Source organism: Homo sapiens, chromosome 2 (genome assembly GCF_000001405.40).
Source record: "Homo sapiens chromosome 2, GRCh38.p14 Primary Assembly".
NCBI classification, from domain to species: Eukaryota; Metazoa; Chordata; class Mammalia; order Primates; family Hominidae; genus Homo; species Homo sapiens.
In genome coordinates, this window is record NC_000002.12 from 189,767,966 (window position 1) to 189,788,416 (window position 20,451).

Below are 20,451 nucleotides of genomic sequence, written 5' to 3' on the forward strand. Positions count from 1 at the left end.
ATACATTCAGGATTCTGACTTTGATGCTTATAATTCTCATGCATTCATTTGTAGCTATATGAAAATTTTTAAACCCAACATAACAAACTACTTGCTACATCACTGGATCTTTTTTACCTGGAACTGAAATTAGGCAGTAAAATAAAAATGTGATACATCTCATTCTTTTCTTTTTGACACAACAAAGGAGAGTTTATCTCTGCTATTCTACTTACCTTCCCCTTCCCTGCGCTGCACTACTCCAAACCTCCTTTTAGGGTATTTTACCTAGATAGGTCTTTTCAGTACTGAACTTGTTCACATTGCTCACATCGACATGTACTATCCATGTTATTGTTTTAGGAATTACTCTTTTCTGTCTATCCTGTTAGAAAGACTATTAAATTGCACTGGTTGACACTGGGTTACTCCATTTGTGTTCTTCATGACTAGCATGAGGCTATTTTTGGGTGATACTTACTGATGACATATATGATATAGAAGACACAGGAGAAATATACTGCATGAAAATCAAGATTCAGCTTTAGCTAGACAAGATGAATCAATAAACTAAAATCTAACAAGATGGAGTTCTATAGGAAAAATGTCTTAAGAGTTTGGTTTAATAAATCAATTTCATATGTGAAGGGTAAGCCATAATTTAACAGCACTACATATTGAAGATTTAAGGTTTTAGTGACATAAAGTGAATCAGTGATATGTGGTTGTCAAAATAAAAAACTAAAGTGGTATTAGGCAGCATTAAAAAAAAGCATCCAGAACAGGGGAAGTGGTACTCTTTCACAGCATATCTGATCACCTCTTGTATTTAACTCTTGTGCTATATAATAAGTAATAAACTGGAACTTAGAGCAGAATTACCAGGATAGTGGGAGAAATCTGAAACCATATCATATGGAAAATGGTGAAGGCTCTAGTAATATTTATTCCATGCTGTTGACACCAATTTAAAAGTTATCTTTAAATACTTGAAGAGTTATGTAAAGATTAGATTTTTGACTCGATATACAACAAATTGTAAATTCTATTACAAAAATAGAATATACTGTCTTATAAGTCCTCTTCTATTAATATTATTATTAAAACAGAACTAAATGGAAGGGTGGTAATTAATAAAGATTCAAGCTAAGGTAGGGGGCCCGGCATGTTGGCTCATGCCTGTAATCCCAGCCTGACCAACATGAGGTTGAAGCGGGCAGATCACTTGAGGTCAGGAGTTTGAGACCAGCCTGACCAACATGGTGAAATCCCATCTCTACTAAAAATACAAAATTAGCTGGGCATGGTGGTGCACGCCCATAATCCCAGCTACTCAGGAGGCTGAGGCAGGAGAATTGCTTGAACACAGGAGGCAGAAGTTGCAGTGAGCCGGGATCACGCCACTGCACTCCAGCCTGGGCGACAAAAAAAACCCGGCTCCAGCCATCTCAAAAAAAAAAAGTTAAGGCAGGGGGTTGAATTACATGGTGTCTAAGGGCTTCTCTAACTTAGCCTCATATAGCTCTATAAGCTAATTCATATAGGTATTAGTGAAGGAGATATTATTATGCCTCTTAGGATCTTTATAATTCAATAGACAATAACACCATAAACCTAGAAAAAGGATGGGGGCAGGTCAAAGGGACACAGCAGTCAGCTTGTAAGAGCTCCTAATGGTCAAAGCTGGAGGACAATTTGAGCAACAAATCATAATAATGGATTATAACCCAAAGAATGAAATATCCATAAGCCCAGAGTATAAGTGATTTAATAAGTAAATAAAGAAGGGACAAATCTTCCTTATAAAAAGATTCTAATAAATAATTATAGAATAAGGGAAACAGAAAATCATCACTAGAACTCCACAATAGTAATTGCTGCAAGAAAGATCCACCAATGAATGCTAAAATTTGTGGCATTTCTAAGCTCATGACTCCTTAGAAATTGCCATTATGTCTCCTGACTTGAAGTCAGGAGCATTTATGGCATGGCAATTTATTTTGTTCCAAGTAATAGTCATTTTTAGATTTTGTTTTAAACTGGAATGTAGGCACCAAAGGGAAGGGAGTTGGTTTTTCTTGTCTACAAACTATCCTCAATACCTAACATAATTCCTGTTACAGAGTGGGCCCTTCAAATATCTACTGAGTAAATATTTTTAAAACATTGACGGGAGAAAGCAGTGAAGAAAGCATGTCTAAGAGGGAGACTTCTATCTCTGAAGTATGTTAAAAAAATGTAAGCCTTTTGAGAGGAACTTTAAAATAAAGAAAAATGAATGCTTTTTGTTACTTTAATTTTACGAATTCAGTTGCTTAAAAATAAACTTGAAAAATGTCATTTTAATTTTGATGACTAAATTTGGAGGGCTTTTGAAATAATATTACACCAACGAAAAATTTTATTAAATTATAGATCACCAGTTATTTAAAAATACACGGGAAAAGACAGACATACAAAGGTAGTATCATACAACTGATTTCTAAACTCAATACTTTTGAGATACAAAACAATGATCATTACCCCCAAAAGTCAGTTTACTGACACGAATTGATGTTTAAGTTGGTCTGTAACTCTTTTCATTCAATTCTGTTTATAAATGTTACTGAATTTTTAAATTTTGTCCCATATCTGAACTTTGTTTTTTTTGACATGTTTACTTCTCAAAGTAGTATATAGTTATTTCTTGCAATTAATGTCAGCAACTATAAGAAGCTTTCCTAAGTCACAAGAATTCAATGTGGTTGCTGTTCTGGAGACAGTTACCATTTTGGGCTATATATACTAAAACCCACGTATTCAAAGGCAAAATATGGGGGTTGAGAGCAGGAGGACTAAGAAAAGAAAATGTTATCTTTTACTGCAGACCTGCCAAAAAAAAGACTCCATTACTTACTTTGGTACTATTGCTAGAGACGTTGTTTCTGCCAGACCACAGGTTGGCTATATGGTTGTTCCTTTTATATTTCCTTTTTCAAATGATGACAAACTTTCCCAATTAAATTGTTCAACCAAATAAGCAGACACCTTTAAATTACCATATATTTTTTAGTTGCTTGAAAGAAATTAATTATTTTCTTAATTGGTTTAGCAGCCTTGTGTCTGGAAAAGCAGTAAAACCTGCTTTGTTCCAAAATTAGAACACTTGACTCAGAAGCTGCTTGTAAGACACTTGGCTATCTTTTATCACCAATCAGTCACAAAGGTGAACCTCCATGAACTCTGTAACGTAATAAATGTAAAAATGGCCTCATTGACCAATACACAATATTAAGCCAGCAAAACCAAAAAAGTACCCTCATAAGTGGGAACTGGCTTGTATAAAACAAGAGGATATACATCCGCTTACATAAAACGAGAAATATGTACGGTAATAAAAATAATCTTTAATAAACTTGTATAGAGAGGATTCCGGTTTACATGTAAGTCTGCTTTAAATAACCACAGCTGAATGACTGGAAATGTTCTTTTCTTAACACAATGCCCATTCATTATAAGTTAAGCTGGTCCTAGTTTCTTACAAATCTCTTATTTCCTTGAATTTATCTACTACACCCTCACTGTGATGCCCTTTAACTTATAAGCTGGGCCTGCCCAGCCTGCTTATAAAGCCCCTCTTCAGAAATGTACCAGGTGTATTAAACAGAGGCATCATTTAATGGAAATCTGCACTTCAAAACAGCACTTGAAGGACCAGCCATTGGCCCTCCAATGTAAATACTTCTCATTTCACATTATCACAGAAACAGTGCAGTTTACTAACCACTCCTTCCTTATAAGAAATTCAGTAGCTGTAAAATTTTTTTTCAGTTTCAAAACATTTCAATACTTATTAATTCCAAAGATCCGAACACCATGTAGTTGTGGCATTTTGGGAATTAGTACACTCAGGAGAGAAGCTGTGTTTAGGATGAAGTGAGTTGGATCATACTTCGTATAGAAACTTGCCAGAAAATATCTGTAGAGATAAAAGTTAAGAATATATATAACATCCAAAAATAAAATTACTTGGAACTTAAACAATTTTAAAGGTAGAAAAAAAGGCCACTAAAGCATAAATACCTAAAAATGAAACTATTTTTGAGCACTAAAACAAGAGGAATCGGTTTGGTCCCAAGTTTATCTCATTAGGAACTAAAAAATTTGTTTAATGGAGGTCCACATTTTCCATTTCTGCAATTGTATTAAATACATTTAATAGAACACACTGCATCCTTTAAAGCAAGGCTTATCAAACTAGGGTTCATATGCCCTCTGTAATTACAGGTGTAGTTCTGTATTTCCATGTATGTTTCTGAAAAAGATATGGATTCAAAGCATTCATCTTATTCTCAAAAAGTTTTGTGACTCACAGGTTAAGAACCTGTACTGTAAAGCTCCAAAAAATGGGGTTTTAGTGCATTAGTACAATTCCTATCTTTGAAGGAAATAAATATTTGGTTGCCCTTTTGATGTTCTCATTTTCATACTGTAGTTGAGCAGCTCTATAACCAGTTTAACCGGTAACCTGAAAGACACTGTTGTACCATTCCAGCTGCTTTTTAATAATCAAATGCATGTATGTTTTTGGATATCCAACTGAGAATTTGTTTTAACAAGCCCCAAGCCTAAAAAGCACCTTTAAAATCATAAATCACCAAGTCCAGAATGTTTAGTTTTACCTACAGGTATATCATATCAAGGTGCAGACACATCATCTGATTACTAACAGAATAATACAGATAAGATGTAAAGAATAAAACATCATATCTTATTTGTTCATAATTAAGAAGTTAGTTTCTATTTAGGTCTTTGCAGTACGCAAGGAAAGTATTCTAATAGCCTTTACTGACATTAGTTTCTCATAAGGGAAAATAAATATCTTGTGTAACATGGTTAGAAGAGAGGAGCTACTTCCAAGTATGACAAAAAACATCACAAGAGAATTTTATACATTTTTAAAACCATCTAGATTGAGAAATTCTACAATCTTCCACCTATTTTGCAAACTACAGTCAGAAAATTCTTTCTCTAGTGTAAACCATATTCCTCAATTCTGAAATTCTTTCTTCCTGTTTTCATATATTTGAAGACTAAATTTATACTTCCTTTACTGAACAAAATAGGACATCACTTGCATTTAGCAAACTCATTTCATTTCCCACCATCATTACAGGTTGAATCTATAATCTGATAGGTTAGAAATAATAAATCTTATAATGGGTTCTTTTGACTATAACCTAGCATATGTCCCCTTTTTGTCTTTTAATTAAAACTAATTTTGTGTGTAGATTATATGAAAATTACTTGACTCTTTCAAAAACTTAGGCAATCCTCTGATGGTATGCAAAACCCAGGTGGGACTCAGTGTGACAACATTTATTTGCCAACAGCTATATTGGAAAGAGACCTGTATTACAAGATAGTAGTTTAGGGTTTAACCTGAGCTCTGAACTCCAACTAGGTGCAAGATCTTCAACAAGGTAATGCATTTGAGTCTGTTTCTTTACTTAAAAATCTGGAATATGGTGGCTCACCCTGTAATCCCAGCACTTTGGGAGGCCAAGGCAGGCGGATCACCTGAGGTGAGAAGTTCAAGACCAGCCTGGTCAACATGGTGAAACCCCATCTCTACTAAAAATACAAAAAGTAGCTGGGCACGGTGGTGCACGCCTGTAGTCCCAGCTACTGGGGAGGCTGAGGCAGGAGAATCGCTTGAACCTGGGAGGCGGAGGTTGCAGTGAGCCAAGATTATGCCACTGCACTCCGGCCTGGGCAGCAGAGCAAGACTCTTGTCTCAAAAAAAAAAAAAATTCTGGAATAACATTCCATGTCACACCTACCTGACAAATAATCAAATAAGAAAATGTGAAAGCACTGAAAAGTCCTAATGCTATATAGATGGCTTTAATGCTATTTCTTCAGTTAAGTAAGCAATTTAATCAGAATATTTGAAATCATACCTGTTGGTCAAAAATACATTTTGAGAAATATGGACACTGTATACAGGTACATCTCAGTTGGCTTTTTGTGTGATAGCTGTGATTAAAACTTCTGAATGTCAGGCATTTTACATGTATTATAATGCAATCCTCAATGTTTTACAGATGAGAAAACTGAGCTTTTGAAGAAAACGGCCAAAAGTCACAGAGCTTCAAAGGGGTTGAGCCAAAATCCAAATTCAGGGCCATCTGAATAACCAATATTTTTGTTATTACATGCATGCATGCATTCATTCACTTATTTATTTAATAAATCGGGTCTTGCTCTGTTGCCCAGACTGGAGTACAGCAGTGTGACTACAGCTCACTGCAGCCTCTTAACTCCTAGGCTCAAACCATCTTCCTGCCTCAGCTTCCCATGTAGCTTACATTTATTTTTATCAGACTACACTGACACTTTTCTTTGAGGTTAATATTATATGGGACTAAATCAATTCAAAATTTCCTCAAAGGGCTATAAATTAAGGAAAAAGAACCCCATTATTTTATGATCAGTTTATTCCTTTCACTTTAAAAATGCCTTCCCTTACTTAAATATCTAAAACCTAGTCTCTCTTAAGTTCTAACATAAGGATTTCCAACACCTCCAAGAAGTCTTTTGTGCTATGCCAGGCTGCACTGACTCTATCATGGACATTATTATGTATAGGCTAGATGGTACAGAGTATTAAGATATATGAGCAATACCTCTATTATGTGTAGGCCACTGTACTTACTGTGGGATTCAAAGCAATCCATGCACTTATAAATTCTTTGGAGAGACAAAATAAAACATATATACATTTTTTTATTTGTCAATTATACCTCAGTAAAGCTGGGGAAAAAAGGAGGAGGCATTTCAGGTAGGAGATATGATTTGAACTGATTTGAACAAAGACAGAAATAGGACTACACATGAAATATTCAAGAAATGCTGCTTAGAAGGCCAGGTAGGAGTTGGGTGGGGATAAAATATTTACATCAAGGGAAAAGGAGGTAAGAACTATTTTCTGGAAGGCCCAGAACATCAGATAGGAGAAAGAAATTAGATACCAGATACAGGTTACATGCTATCCAGGTAGATTATTATCTCATTTATTTCTTACAGCATTAGGATTGAATTAGGTATCACTAGCTAGAATTTTATATATGAGCAAACCAAGCTGGCTGAGTGATATATATAGGACTCCACCCAGGTCTATCCTATAATGAAAGCCTGACCTACTTTTTTCGAAACCATACTCTTTCCCAAGGAGTCTGAATATCTTAATAGGATAGGTGGCCAGTGAAATTCTTCTCATTATCTAAATCATTGCTTAAGGAGATTAATCTGACAGTGCAATATAGAATATGATTATGTATTTTGTGTCCTTATATGAAACCTAAGGACGGGAGCTGGAATACATTTGACCTGTATATCCTAAATGTCTAGGTGCACTGATTAGCATGTAATATTGTCTCCGTATATGTACTGACTGAAGTGAAAATTAGTTTATTATCAACTTGTTAAAAATTTTGTCTATATTTTATGTTCTATCCGAGGTGCTACTTATTGATAGAAGTTTGCAACAAAATATGTTTCTAATTCCAATTCAATCTGATGAAAAGATATCTTCCTCTTATCCAATCCTCCTCATACCTAAAAATTTCTGCCACTTACAGAATTATTGGAGAAATTGTGAAAAACTTCCGTGAAGATGTAAACTGTACTCCATAGTCCAGTTGTTCCCAATGAGTTAGGAGCCTTGCTTTACCCTGGTCAGGAGTTTCGAAAGGTGTTCCTTTCACTGCATGCAAAAATACGTACATCCCCTGGAAAACAAGCAAGGGGTTATAAATGATCAATATTAAATACAAAATTAGTCTTTGTCAGTAGCATTAACGAGGTTCCAAGCTGTTTGTGAGAGTGTGTGATTTAACTGAGTTCGTTTTAAGCTTTCATATAATAGTGAAAGGCTGTAGCCAGTTTCTTTATAATAAAATAGAACTTTCTGGGGTATAAAAATATTAAGTGAGAATTGGTAAAAGGTCAACTGAAAGTAACCTGTTTGCATTTCTATTCGTTAAACTAAAAATAATTATCAGGGTAGCTTCATATCTTTACATTCAGATTTTCTTACACTTTTCCTATTAGGAAATAGGATTACTTTTTCCCCAATGTACAGGAGGTTTTTCTTCAGGGTATATTAGTAAATTTGATGATACTTAAAAAATGATAAAGACATACAAAGTGGTAGAAAACAATAAAATGATTAAAATCTATTGGGAAAAATAGTTTTGAGATATTTAATATGATGACTGCCTTTGCCTTAATAGTTCTCTTCCAAAGCAATAAAAATAGTTTGATATAATAGGTATAATGTTCCACTCAATTCCCTTTTTAAATCGCTATTGTGCCTCAATAGCATTTCTTCTGAAGTCAGTTTTAAAAACTCAAAGCAAATAACATTACTAAAAGCCATTCTGTCAGATCATATGTCTAAACATATAATTTTTTTTATCAATAGGGTAGAAAAAAACCAATCTATAGATTTGGTTTCCTTGAGATTATGATACCCATTTAGACTCATAGGCAGTGTTTCATTCAGGATCACTGCTTGAGGCACTTTATGTAAAGGGATAATGCCTAAATATTATCATGACACAAAGTTTTTCCTTCTAGACGCCACAATGTGATGTCATTTTTCCTACCTCTACTTTTAATGATTATATAGAAAAATTAGGGATTTGAAATTTTATATGATACCAACTTAACCAAGCCCTTCCTTTCAAGGCTTAGTCTACTTCCTAGTTATTCCAGTAGGCAATTCAGAAGTCGTTTAGCTACAATAACACGTAAGCTATGGAGGAAAGGACTCATGTTCAATTGGATTTAACCCATCAAACATTTAATAGGTGGCTTATATGTACAAGACATAGGACATATATGCACATATGAAATTGAATGAGATGTACCCAAGCCTTGGAAAAATTCAATCCTCCAAGAGATGATAAGGAAAAAAAATGCATAAACAGCTAGAAAGTAGGGCAGAAATTGCTATCAAAGGTACAATCAGAATACTCAGCAAATGGCAGGGGAGGGAAAGGTTCCTTGTTGCTGTGCCAAAAGTCTTGATGCTACTTCATTACCTCATTCTTAAAGGTTCAGCTCAAATAACAATTCCTTAGAAAAACCTACCTCATTAGTAATAATTAATCTCCTCTTTATGTAGTTGTATACAATTTTATTGAAAATACGATTACAGTACAATATATCATGTTAGAGTTGTTTGCATGATGTTTGTTTTCCCATTAGCCTGAATACACTCGGAATAAGCACTGGGACACCGCAAGACATTAGACATTGGACACTTCCAACATTAGAAATGTTGGAAGATGACATTACGCCAAGGAGTATTTATTCTGTAAGCTCTACGAAACCATTTTCATATGGACTTTAAAGTGAATTATAAAACAGAAAGTATATGTTTTCAAATCATCGGGGGTATAGGACCCCCAAAAAGTTAAGAACATCTATTCCAGACCACATAGATATTAGAATATAAGAGAATAATCATCCTCTCATTATTTCCTTCAAACCATATGTACTTAACTAGTGTTTAGAATATCAAAACAGTTTATTTTATACATCTTTTCAGTGAAAAATAATAAAATCTTATCTGGCCATATATCTACTGCCCCAATATTTTTTAAATTGTTTTTATGTAAAAATGTTTGTGATTATTATTCCTCCATTAAAAGAATTAGAGAACAAAAGTATGTAGCTCATGCTTAGTCCTTACTAAATACCTACTGAATCAAAATGAATCATTCATTTTTAAAGCTGGGCCAAGAATCCTGTGAAGCATTAATACCTCTAAGGGTGAGGTAGCACTTAATAAAGCAACCACTGTAGGTTTCTACTGTACGGTTCAGAAAGGCAAATATACTGTATTTTTCTAACCGGGTGTAACAATTAGGTCCATTTTCTCATTTTTAAAGGCATTCAATATGTACTTCAGATTTTTAATTGGTTTAATGTGGCTATATTCAAAGGAAACTTAAATTTGGAGTCATGTAATTGCAACTCCGATGGCTAATTAAGTTTTTAGTGTGGTGAACTAATAACAAATAAATCAGAAGTTTGCTTTTCTATACAATGTCAATTACCAATCATTTGTCCATGGTCAACCAACTTGAAACACGGTTAGGGGGTGGTGGTGGTACAGGGATGGCATCTAAACCGTGGTGGCTCACACTCAGCACTTTGGGAGGCCGAGGCGGGCAGATCACCTGAGGTTGGGAGTTCGAGACCAGCCTGACCAACATGGTGAAACCCTGTCTGTACTAAAAATACAAAAATTAGCCAGGCATGGTGGTGCACACCTGTAATCCCAGCGACTCAGGAGGCTGAGGCAGGAGAATCGCTTGAACCCAGGAGGGGGAGGTTGCAGTGAGCCAAGATCGTGCCACTGTACTCCAGCCTGGGTGACAGAGTGAAACTCCGTCTCAAAAAAAAAGGACTAACTTATTCGGCAAACATTTAAATACGTTCTTAGCGATACAAAAATTAAAACATAAAGAGATAAACTGCTAATTATAAAACAATGACAAACACATGATAAAAGAATGCAGCATGGGAGTTGTGTAGATTCCTGGAGGGACAGTTTTGCTGTAGGAAATCAGGCAGAGCAGGAAGGAGGGAGAGGTATTAAAATAGTAGAGACTGGGCCGGGCATGGTAGCTCACACCTGTAATCCCAGCATTTTGGAAGGCCAAGGCAGGTGGATCACCTGAGGTCAGGAGTTCAAGTCCAGCCCGGCCAACATGTTGAAACCCCATCTGTACTAAAAATACAAAAATTAGCCAGGTGTAGTGGCACATGCCTGTAGTCCCATCTGTTCAGGACGCTGAGGCAGGAGAATTGCTTGAACCTGGGAGGTGCAGGTTGCAGTGAGCCAAGATTGCGCCACTGCACTCCAGCCTGGATGACACAGAGAGACTCCATCTCAAAAAAAATAAAAGTAGACCCTGAGTACTATGGCTCACTCATGCTTTGGGAGGCTGAGACAGGAGGATCACTTGAGGTCAGGAGTTTGAGACTAGACTGGGTAACACAGCAAGACCCCCATCTCAATCAGTCAATCAGCTGAGCATGGTGGCACACACCTATAGTCCTAGCTACTTGGAAGGCTGAGGCAGGAAGATCACTTGAGACCAGGAGTTCGAGGCTGCAGTGAGCTATGATCATGCCACTGCACTCCAGCCTGGGTAACAGAGTGAGACCCTGTCTCTGTAAGAAAAACAAAATGGCTGGGCATGCTGGCTCATGCCTGTAATCCCAGCACTTTTGGAGGATGGTGCAGAAGGACTGCTTGAGGCCAGGAGTTCAAGACCAGCCTGGGCAACATAGTGAGAGCCTATCACTATTAAAATAAAAACAAATTAGCCGGGTGTGGTGGCATGTGCCTGCAGTCCTCAAATTTATTGGGAAGCTAAGGTGGGAGGAGCTATGATCACGCCAGTCTCTTAAAAACAAAAGAGTACTTGGTCCAGGTGAAAAGAAAATATAGTAGAAAAGCTTAAGCCAAAACAATAAAATGAGAGCAAGATGATTTTCTTTATTGCTAGTGTATAGCCTCTATTTAGAGATGGTTGAGACAAGGTGAAGTCTCCTTGTTTCTGCACTGTTATCAACTGGTCTTATATGTCACACAAGAAACTTGGATTTTACCATGACTGCAATGGATGATCACTGAATGACTTAGAGTATGACTTGAGCAAACATGCATTTTTAAAACATCACTCTGCCAAGCTGGAATGGAGAAGGGTAGAGAAGCATCAAGAAGACTATTTGATTTATCTGAGTAATTTACTTGAGGAAAAAATGAGGGTATGGGGATCAAGTTGAGAGTAAAGCAGTAGAAGACAGTGCTCTGAGCAAATGGATATGGAATATAAAGGAAAAGAAGTTATCCTAAGACTTAGGTGACCTTGTATTCTTGTTTGCATACGATGGTTCTGATTATACCTAATCTCTTGTAGTAGTTATTACCAAAGCTCCATTTTACTCTCTAAACAGCCTGTTTGGACTATACATTACAGGTTGAGTATTCCTTATCCACAATGCTTTGGAGCAGAAGTGTTTCAGATTTTGGATTGTTTTGGATTTTGGAATATCGGCATATACATAATGAGATATCTTGGGGACAGGGCCCAAGTCTAAACATGAAATTCATTTATGTTTCATATACATCATACACACACAGCCTAAAGATAATTTTATATAGTATCTTTAATAATTTTGTGCATGAAATAAAGTTTTGATTGCATTTTAATTGCAACCTGTCAGGAAGTCAGGTATGGAATTTTCCGCTTGTGGCACAACACTGGTGCTAAAAAAGTTTCTAATTTTAGAACATTTTCTATTTTGGGTTTCTGATTAGGGATGCTCAACCTGTATATTAATTGCTTTACCATTAACATTCAGCTGTCTGGCTTGGCCTTTAGATAAGATTAGTAGTGAAGCCAGAGGATCAGATTGTGGGTGGTAAGGGAGTAATCAGGAATAAGATAAGTTCCATTTATACTTGTTTGGTTTAAGGTGCAAAGTAATCTGGTGATAAAAATAAATAGGAGCATCCTTATTCTACAGGTAGAAACTGAAAATATGGGTAGATGAAGTAACCTAGGTAGAATACATAGCATAAGAAGAGATGAAGAAAAGAACCTTGGGAATAGAAATATTTAAGAGAGGAAAAGAGAAGGAAGACCCCATAAGAAGAAAGAGAAGGTCAGAAATATATGCCGGTGAAAGTGATCCTATAGAAGCCAAAGGAAGTTTCAACAAAAGTGAGATGATTAGTGTAAAATATTTCAGAGAAGTCACTATTTAAAAGAAAACATCGTTTGCTCTTACAAAGTCTATCACATAAAATGGACTAAATGGACACATATTTATCATGTCTACCAGCACATCATTCTTATCCTCCTCCAGTCAACTTCAAATATACTCCAGAAGATAGAAAATAAATATTATTGTTATTATTTGAGGCAGGGTCTCACTGTCACCCAGGCTGGAGTGCAGTGGCACGATCTTGGCTCACTGCAACCTCCACCTCCCAGGCTCAAGCGATTCTCCTACCTCAGCCTCCCGAATAGCTGGGACTATAGATGTGCTGCCACCATGCCAGGCTAAGGTTTTGTATTTTTTGTAGAGACAGAATTTCAGGCTTCACCATGTTGCCCAGGCTGGTCTTGAAATCCTGAGCTCAAGTGATCTGTCCACCTCAGCCTCCCAAAGCACTGGGATTACAGGCATGAGCCACCGTGACTGGCCAAAATAAATATTAATTTTTAAAAATCAATTTCTCCTGTTTTCCTGTCTTAATGCTTTAAGTTCATTTTAAAAAATATCTTTCAACAAATGTACTGCTAAACTGGATTCAATTAAAATCCTCAACTAACTGTATTTCCTCCTTTTCACGTTACTTTAATGGGTTATTAAAGACAAGAAAAGTCGCTGTCAAGATTTTTTGTTTTTGTAAAAGGCAATTTCCAGGGCTGCATAATATGGTCAGTACAGTCAATCAAAACTTTGATACTCTGTAGAGCTAACACAAGAGAGTAACAAGCAGCAGCTAAGGCACCATAAGATCCTGAATCACATAAGATGATTAAGTTCAAAACTTAAATACTGAAACAGTGAAGTATACTTACACTATTTAGATAGATAAGTTAACAAGGATTGAAACTAAAATGATCTATTTTCTAGATTCTATACAATGAGAAAAAAAAAAGTCTTACTTAGAAAAAGGACCAATGTTGAAATAAAGCGTGAAAGAAAAAAGAAAATTCTATCCCAGATTAGAATTCTTCAAAATTAAGTCTTATATACTAAAAACTACTAAACTATACACTTTAAATGGGTGGATTTTATTGCATGTGAATTATATCTCAAAAAAGCTGTTAAAAAAACTAAGTTGTATACAACACAAAACCTTAAGCTTCTTTAAAAACTATGTTTAAACACACATGTCATAAAGTTTACCATCTTAGACACTTTTTTTTTTTTTTTGAGACGAAATCTCACTCTGTCACCTAGGCTGGAGTACAGTGGAATGATCTCGGCTCATTGCAACCTCTGCCTCCCAGGTTCAAGCGATTCTCCTGCCTCAGCCTCCCGAGTAGCTGGGACTACAGGCATGCGCCACCATGCCCGGCTAATTTTTGTATTTTTAGTAGAGATGAGGTTTCACCATGTTGGCCAGGCTGGTCTTGAACTCCTGACCTTGTGATCTGCCTGCCTTGGCCTCCCAAAGTGCTGGGACTTTAAATGTACAGTTGAGTGGTATTAAAAACATTCATATTGTTGTGCAATCATCACCATTACCATCCACATCCAGAACTCTCTTCATCTTGCAAAACCAAAAACTCTGTACCCATTAAGCAATAACTTTCCATTCCTTCCTCCCCTTAATTTCCGGCAACCACTAAACTTAAAACTTTTAAGTGTTTAGTATAATGTGAAATTCTTACCAGATTATGTATAATATTTGTTAAAGTCCAAGCAACAGGAACACTGAAGAAGGGAATGCTGAGTAAGACAATATGAAGCAAGCCAACTCCCAATGCATATGTCAGCCACATACCCCGGCTGTTCATGACACGGGTATTTGGATTCACTTCACTGTGGGCAACTCCAACGTTCATGTTTGCTCTGTAGGAAGTAATGAAATGAATCAACACTGATACAACTGGCAACCTAACACCCCCAATTCTGACATGACAAGGTACCTGTGTTGCGAGGATTATTTTTTCCTAGTTACTTTGAAGTAGCACACAAACACCATCCAAAATATGCTACTTGTAGATGCTGATGACAGCAGTAAAGAATCTTCAGCATTTGACTTTAGGGTAAGACAAGACTTGTTATTATGGTTCTATTTGAAAAAATAGTTACAATGCCTTTCCAAAAGTTTGTTTTCTAGCATGTTGTTTTACTGAATAGGAAAATTCAAACTGAAAGAGAAAACCTACATTTTCTTATATCATGAGAGCAAAGTGAAAAGCCAAAAGCTAAATTTACCAACATAATAAATTTATATTAAAAAGAAAAAGCAGAACTCACCGAGCCAGTGTGTCAAGTAGTCAGACTCTTATATTTGACTTAATGTATCCATAAAGAATGGTCAGAGTTCAGATCACTTCTTTCTGAATACTCAATGTGGAAGGTACATGCTGTTGACATAATGTGGTGTAAAATTTACATGGTCAAGGGATAATGTTTGTTTCTCAATTTTGTGATTAAACTAGGTGAAAATAAGGAGTCTTCTGAATATTTCTCTAGTCAAATCAAAAACTTCAGTTTTCTTTCTTCTTTTTAAAAAAGGTTTTCCCTTCTCCTTTCCATTGAAGATGGACTCCAAAGGAAGAATTGATAATAGTTCTCAGTTCTTTTAATGATGGTGTTTACTTGAGACTAAGAATTGCTTAAAATAAAACTGTCCTGAAGAACACCTATCATCCGACGGAGGGGGAAAACGAGGCTAGATTATATTTGGAACAGCTGTGATTTTAAAATACACAAACGCTTGTATTACGGAGTTAGCATACAGAGAGGAATTTCTCATAACCCCTTCCAGCAAATGTTTCCGGAGTATAATGCTCCTTCCGCTCTAGAGACCCATAGAACAGGCATCAAGGGTTAAGGGGACGAAAAGTTAGTTACACTAAGACCGCTAAAGCCTCCAATTTATATGTGTAAATCTTTCGTCTAAACACCCATGATTTATCATACATTAAACTATTATGTCATACTTAGAACATGCCAACACTCAAGATAGTTTTCCCACGTTCCACAGGATGGAGGCCTGAAATTTACATCTCAGCTGGAAGGCAAAGCTGGTGCGGTACTCATCCTATTCCAACCAGAAAACCTTTTCCCAGCAGGTTTGCCGCGCTGCCCACGACTGGCAAACAATGACCTTACAGACCGTGAAGAGGCTGTTGGCTCTGCCCTCGCCGGTGCCTCCGAAGACGGCGACCCGCAGCGGCCCCTCAGGGGAGTCCCCCCTGCTAGACCGACAGCCCGAGCGCTCTGGGCCAGAGAAAACTCAGCAAAAGCCGCCGCTGCTACCACCTCAGCGCCTCCCCCAACCCGCCCCTTCCTTCTCGCGGCCGCACGTCACGTCAGGACCCTGGCAAGACAACGAGGATTTGCGTAGGGGGCGAGCCTCTGAGGCCACTTGGCTCTTACGGCCACGCAGGGCGCCGCAGATGCAGCCGGAGCCCGCTTTTCCCTCTCAGGACGACCCCTAGGCCGCCAGCAGTTCCCTACCGACGAAGGCGACTGTACAGCGTCCACCGCGTTCGTGCCCACTTACCCGCCGCCCCACTCCGGGCCGCCGGCTCGCAGCAGGACCAGCCCGGCTGCTACGGCCGCGGATACACGCCCTCAGGCCCGGCGCTGCGCAGCTTGCGGAAGCTTTCCCGGACAGACTCGCTGCCAGCGGATTGGCTGCGAGCAGCGCCAATCTCACGTTGCCCCCGGGCGAGGCGGGACTCAGTGCCGCGCTCTCTGCACCCGCTCTGCCGCGCGCGTGCGTGCTGGGTGCGGGTGCGGGTGCGGGGTTGGGCCTGCGCATCGGGTGAGACGCTGGCTGCTTGCGGCTAGTGGATGGTAATTGCCTGCCTCGCGCTAGCAGGAAGGTAGTGTGGTGTGACTAACGGGTATTTATTATATCCTCGATGGCTCGAGGGCCCCGTCCCCTCTACTCGTCCTGGTCCGGGCGCGAACGCTATAGGGCAGCTAAGGGCGCTCCCCGCGGGGCGGGAAGCGAAGCCGGGCTTGCGGGCGCGCACACGTGGAACGCGTTTTCTGAGCAGGTCTGGGCTCCGGGGTGTTCTGGCTTGGTCTTTGTTGCGTCCCATTCCCCAGACCCTTCTGGGTGGAGGACTTAAAATTTGTTTTCCAGGCAGCAGATTTAACCCATGGCAACTGTAACTCATCTTGTGTGAGTGGCGGTTTATAGTATTGTATCCTGTGGCATCATACAAGGGGTGCAAGTTAAACTCTTTAAAGTTAATCACGATTTTTGCTCTTGGCCTTCTGGGTTTATCCGTACGCCGAAGACAGGCACCTGTATTACATGCTAAGGAAATGTGAATACCAAAAATTGATCCTGAGGAAAGTCTTGATTAGGTTTTTTTGGAATCGCCTTTGAAATGTAATTTCCCTCACCTTGGCAGTGCAGAAAGTTTGTGATTTTTATTGCCGAAATAGCTTTCAACATTTTGAAATTGACTTAAGAGAATGTTGGCTGTGTATGTCTGTATCTTGCATTTCTGTTGGCTTTGTGAACCTAATTGTTTTGGATTTAGTCTGATCTTTAAATAAATGATTTCTTTGTGTTCTCTCTAATGGAAGTCTGTGAGTTCTCTGATCTTTACTTCTTTTTTAGGCACACCTGTTGTCCTTAACTGACTTTCCGGGTCATCAGCACTTCTTCAGAAGTGTTCCTTTTCCCTCCCAGCAAATATGGAAGACTGACTATCCTGATATTCCCAGACATTCTTTGCTGTGATTTGTAAGCCCGATATAAACCCTTCCATTTGGTACACATATGGTATAGAGTGCTATATTCCAGGGGCTATGCTAGCGATGTGTGATTGATATAAAACCCCTGTCCTCAAAGAACTCTGAGTCAGGAGCAACAGACAGAAACACATATTAATAGAGTAACTTGTGATGAGGTTAATTAGAAATGAGGTAAAGGGGGACTGCAGGGGAAGGAATACCTAATCTGTTGGCAGGTGAAGGAAAGGAGGCTGCAGCAGGGAAGAAAGGCTTGAAGAGTTGATACTGAACTAAATCTGGAAGGATGATTAGAAGTCAGCTGAGAGAGAACCATGTGAGCTGAGGAAGGAGTGAGTGTCACCATGTTAAGAGAGACAAGTTGGCTGGGCACGGTGGCTCACACCTGTAATCCCAGCACTTTGGGAGGCCAAGGCGGGCGGATCACCTGAGGTCAGGAGTTCGAGACCAGCCTGGCCAACATGGTGAAACCCTGTCTCTACTAAAAATACGAAAATTAGCCGGGCGTGGTAGTGCGCTCCTGTAATCCCAGCTACTTGCAGGGCTGGGACAGGAGAATTGCTTGAACCTGGGAGGCAGAGGTTGCAGTGAGCCAAAATCGCTGCACTCTGGCCTGGGCAACAAAGTGAGACCCTGTCACAAAAAATAAAAAATAAAAAAAGACGAGCTGTGCAGTATGATCGCCCTAGAGCACATTTGGGCAACGATGGGATGACTGGGAGAGGAGGCAAAAATCCAGTTGTTAAGAAGTTTGTACTTAACCTGGTTGGCAATTGGAAACCTTTATAAAAATTTTAAGTGGGGCAGCAACATGATGAAATTTAAATACAGAAAGAACCCTATAGGTGGTTGAGATTCGAGTCAAAATATCAATTAGGTGGTTATTGCAGTAGTTCAGGAGAGAAAGGCCGAATGGAGGCAGTACAAAGAGGAGAGGACTAGTTTGGGAAACATTTAGATAGTAGGAGAGAGATGACTGGGTGGCAGGATGTAGAGAGCGAGTAGAATTTCTAGGATGACTTCAAGGTTTCTAATTTTGCTTTATGTGCTTGGATGGAAGGTGTTTGAGAGCATGGCCTTTGGAGTCAAACATGCCAAGGTGTGCATCTGCCACTTAATAGTTTTGTGATCTTGAGCAAGTTACCATGCCTTTAAATCCTATTTGGTGATAAAGGATGATAGAATACGTAGAGTTGTTGTGAGGATTAAATAGGATAATATATATAAAATTCTCATGTTGGCTATTACTTTTATTATCAAACAAGAAATATAGGAAGAAAGTTGATTAGAGGCCAGTCGTGGTGGCTCACGCCTGTAATCCCAGCACTTTGGGAGGCCGAGGCGGGCGGATCACCTGAGGTCAGGAGTTTGAGACCAGCCTGGCCAACATGGTGAAACCTTGGCTCTACTAAAAATACAAAAAATTAGCCAGGTGTGGTGGCGGGCACCTGTAATCCCAGCTACTCGGGAGGCTGAGGCAGGAGAATCGCTTGAACCCGGGAGGTGGAGGCTGCAGTGAGCGGAGATTGTGCCATTGCATTTCAGCCTGGGCAACAAGAGCGAAACCTGAAACTCTGTCTCAAAAAAAAGAAAGAGAAAGATTCTCTGATCAGTTTGGGACATGTTATGTTTAGGTTGCCTTCAGGTCATCTAAATGATGATATTTAGAAGGTAGATGGAAGTAAGGCCCTAAAGTCCAGAAAAAAAGTGTGAGATACAGGTGAGCTGGAGGATGGTGTGGAAGCCAATTGAAATTATGTATATAAAGGGAAGGAGGATACTTTTTCTAATGTTTGCGTTAGCATAAGAAAGATGCTGATAAATTATATTTAGTGGTCCTTCATTAATATTCATGAAGTGAAGGGCTTGCCATGGGTGAAGCATTTGATTGTTCTGCCTGGCATCCAGAGATACATAATACATAATTTCCTACATTCAAAAGTTGTACAGCAGGAAAAAAAAAGTTTTACAGTTCAGGACAAAGATGTAGTAGGTTTAATTATACAATTTAATTAATTTAATCTTTACAGTTATCTTACATTGATTATAGGACAAAATGATATTTGATATTTTGAATATATTAGATTATCCAAATACGTAATTAAGATTAACTTCACTTTTTTATTTTTTTTTTAGCTTTTTTAATGTGAGTACTAGAAAATTTTAAATGATGTATGTACATTATAGTTCTGTTGAACAGTGCTGGATAGAGTACTGGTTAAAATGGCAGGCTCTGAAATCACGCTACTTTGGTTTTATCCTAGCTCTTACTAACAGCTATATGATACTGAGGAAATTAAACTTTCTAAAACTCAATCAGCTAATCTATAAAATGGAGACAATACAGATATCATATGCTTATGAATTTGGTAGAGACACAAATATTCAGACTGTAGCAATTAGGAGAGAAGAAAGATGACATGACATGGAAGAAGAGTATGAAAAGAGATGCAGACATCTTAAGACCAGAGGATGCAATGGGATGGGGTAGATAAAGTGTGACAGAATTCATGCTATGAATTGCCATGATCTTAGTAAACTAGAAGAATGAGGAATATTGGGATGCAATTATAGAGATTTAAAAAAAAAAGATCTTGGATTTGGCATTGTAGGAGATGAGGTATTATAGGAAACGAGACAAAGATGATGAGATTAAGACTGCTCAGAAGGAGTCAGTCTAAGTTTATACCCCAAAGTTTTGTTGATCAGTGTTTTTCTTAGATCCTTGGGATTTCCTAGCTGAGGTGGAAGACTTCTTGAACCCAGGCCTAATGTGTGAGCCCCTTTGGGGTAGGGGTTAGAGGTGGGGGGATTGTTCATTTAGGGGTTTAGAGGAGCTCAGTTTAGTCCCAGTATCCTGGGATGTTTTTAGCACTTATATGCCAAACACTGTAATACATTATTTATATATACTACTTTATTTACTTCTCACCACAA

General features: G+C 38.4%; 2 protein-coding genes across 36 annotated transcripts in view, besides 6 other annotated features; one reads left to right on the forward strand and one right to left on the reverse strand.

Moving 5' to 3' along the window:
- ORMDL1 (ORMDL sphingolipid biosynthesis regulator 1) overlaps positions 1 to 16,374 on the reverse strand; it is a 20,481-nt gene extending 4,107 nt beyond the window's left edge. Inside the window, exons 1-5 of one of the 13 annotated variants that reach the window (NM_001371386.1) lie at positions 16,304 to 16,374; positions 15,049 to 15,158; positions 14,457 to 14,637; positions 7,600 to 7,751; positions 3,809 to 3,937 (exon numbers count right to left, since the gene is read on the reverse strand). In NM_001371386.1, the coding sequence (NP_001358315.1) occupies positions 3,809 to 3,937; positions 7,600 to 7,751; positions 14,457 to 14,630 (455 nt within the window). In that variant the 5' untranslated portion in view covers positions 14,631 to 14,637; positions 15,049 to 15,158; positions 16,304 to 16,374. Of the gene's footprint in view, positions 1 to 2,301; positions 3,938 to 5,883; positions 6,150 to 7,599; positions 7,752 to 14,456 lie in introns of those variants that run through there. The other 12 variants (NM_016467.5, XM_017005347.2, NR_163942.1 and 9 more) reach the window with 12 other exon arrangements.
- Positions 15,661 to 16,547: an enhancer, noted in NCBI's record as "NANOG-H3K27ac-H3K4me1 hESC enhancer chr2:190648352-190649238 (GRCh37/hg19 assembly coordinates)". NCBI's record gives its function as "activates a minimal SCP1, AML or CMV promoter by ChIP-STARR-seq in naive H9 embryonic stem cells {active_cell/tissue: H9 hESC(naive)}" and the evidence as "EXISTENCE:reporter gene assay evidence [ECO:0000049][PMID:30033119]".
- Positions 15,833 to 15,912: an enhancer, noted in NCBI's record as "active region_16854". NCBI's record gives its function as "activates an Ori minimal core promoter by ATAC-STARR-seq in GM12878 lymphoblastoid cells {active_cell/tissue: GM12878}" and the evidence as "EXISTENCE:reporter gene assay evidence [ECO:0000049][PMID:35858748]".
- Positions 16,003 to 16,062: an enhancer, noted in NCBI's record as "active region_16855". NCBI's record gives its function as "activates an Ori minimal core promoter by ATAC-STARR-seq in GM12878 lymphoblastoid cells {active_cell/tissue: GM12878}" and the evidence as "EXISTENCE:reporter gene assay evidence [ECO:0000049][PMID:35858748]".
- Positions 16,073 to 16,302: an enhancer, noted in NCBI's record as "active region_16856". NCBI's record gives its function as "activates an Ori minimal core promoter by ATAC-STARR-seq in GM12878 lymphoblastoid cells {active_cell/tissue: GM12878}" and the evidence as "EXISTENCE:reporter gene assay evidence [ECO:0000049][PMID:35858748]".
- Positions 16,443 to 16,492: a silencer, noted in NCBI's record as "silent region_12173". NCBI's record gives its function as "represses an Ori minimal core promoter by ATAC-STARR-seq in GM12878 lymphoblastoid cells {active_cell/tissue: GM12878}" and the evidence as "EXISTENCE:reporter gene assay evidence [ECO:0000049][PMID:35858748]".
- PMS1 (PMS1 homolog 1, mismatch repair system component) overlaps positions 16,485 to 20,451 on the forward strand; it is a 93,180-nt gene continuing 89,213 nt past the window's right edge. For 11 of the 23 annotated variants that reach the window (NM_000534.5, NM_001128144.2, NM_001128143.2 and 8 more), the window contains exon 1: positions 16,485 to 16,628. The gene's annotated coding sequence lies outside the window, so the exon portion shown is untranslated. Of the gene's footprint in view, positions 16,806 to 17,380; positions 17,507 to 20,451 lie in introns of all 23 variants that reach the window. The other 12 variants (NM_001321045.2, XM_017004344.2, XM_047444776.1 and 9 more) reach the window with 5 other exon arrangements.
- Positions 16,853 to 16,902: an enhancer, noted in NCBI's record as "active region_16857". NCBI's record gives its function as "activates an Ori minimal core promoter by ATAC-STARR-seq in GM12878 lymphoblastoid cells {active_cell/tissue: GM12878}" and the evidence as "EXISTENCE:reporter gene assay evidence [ECO:0000049][PMID:35858748]".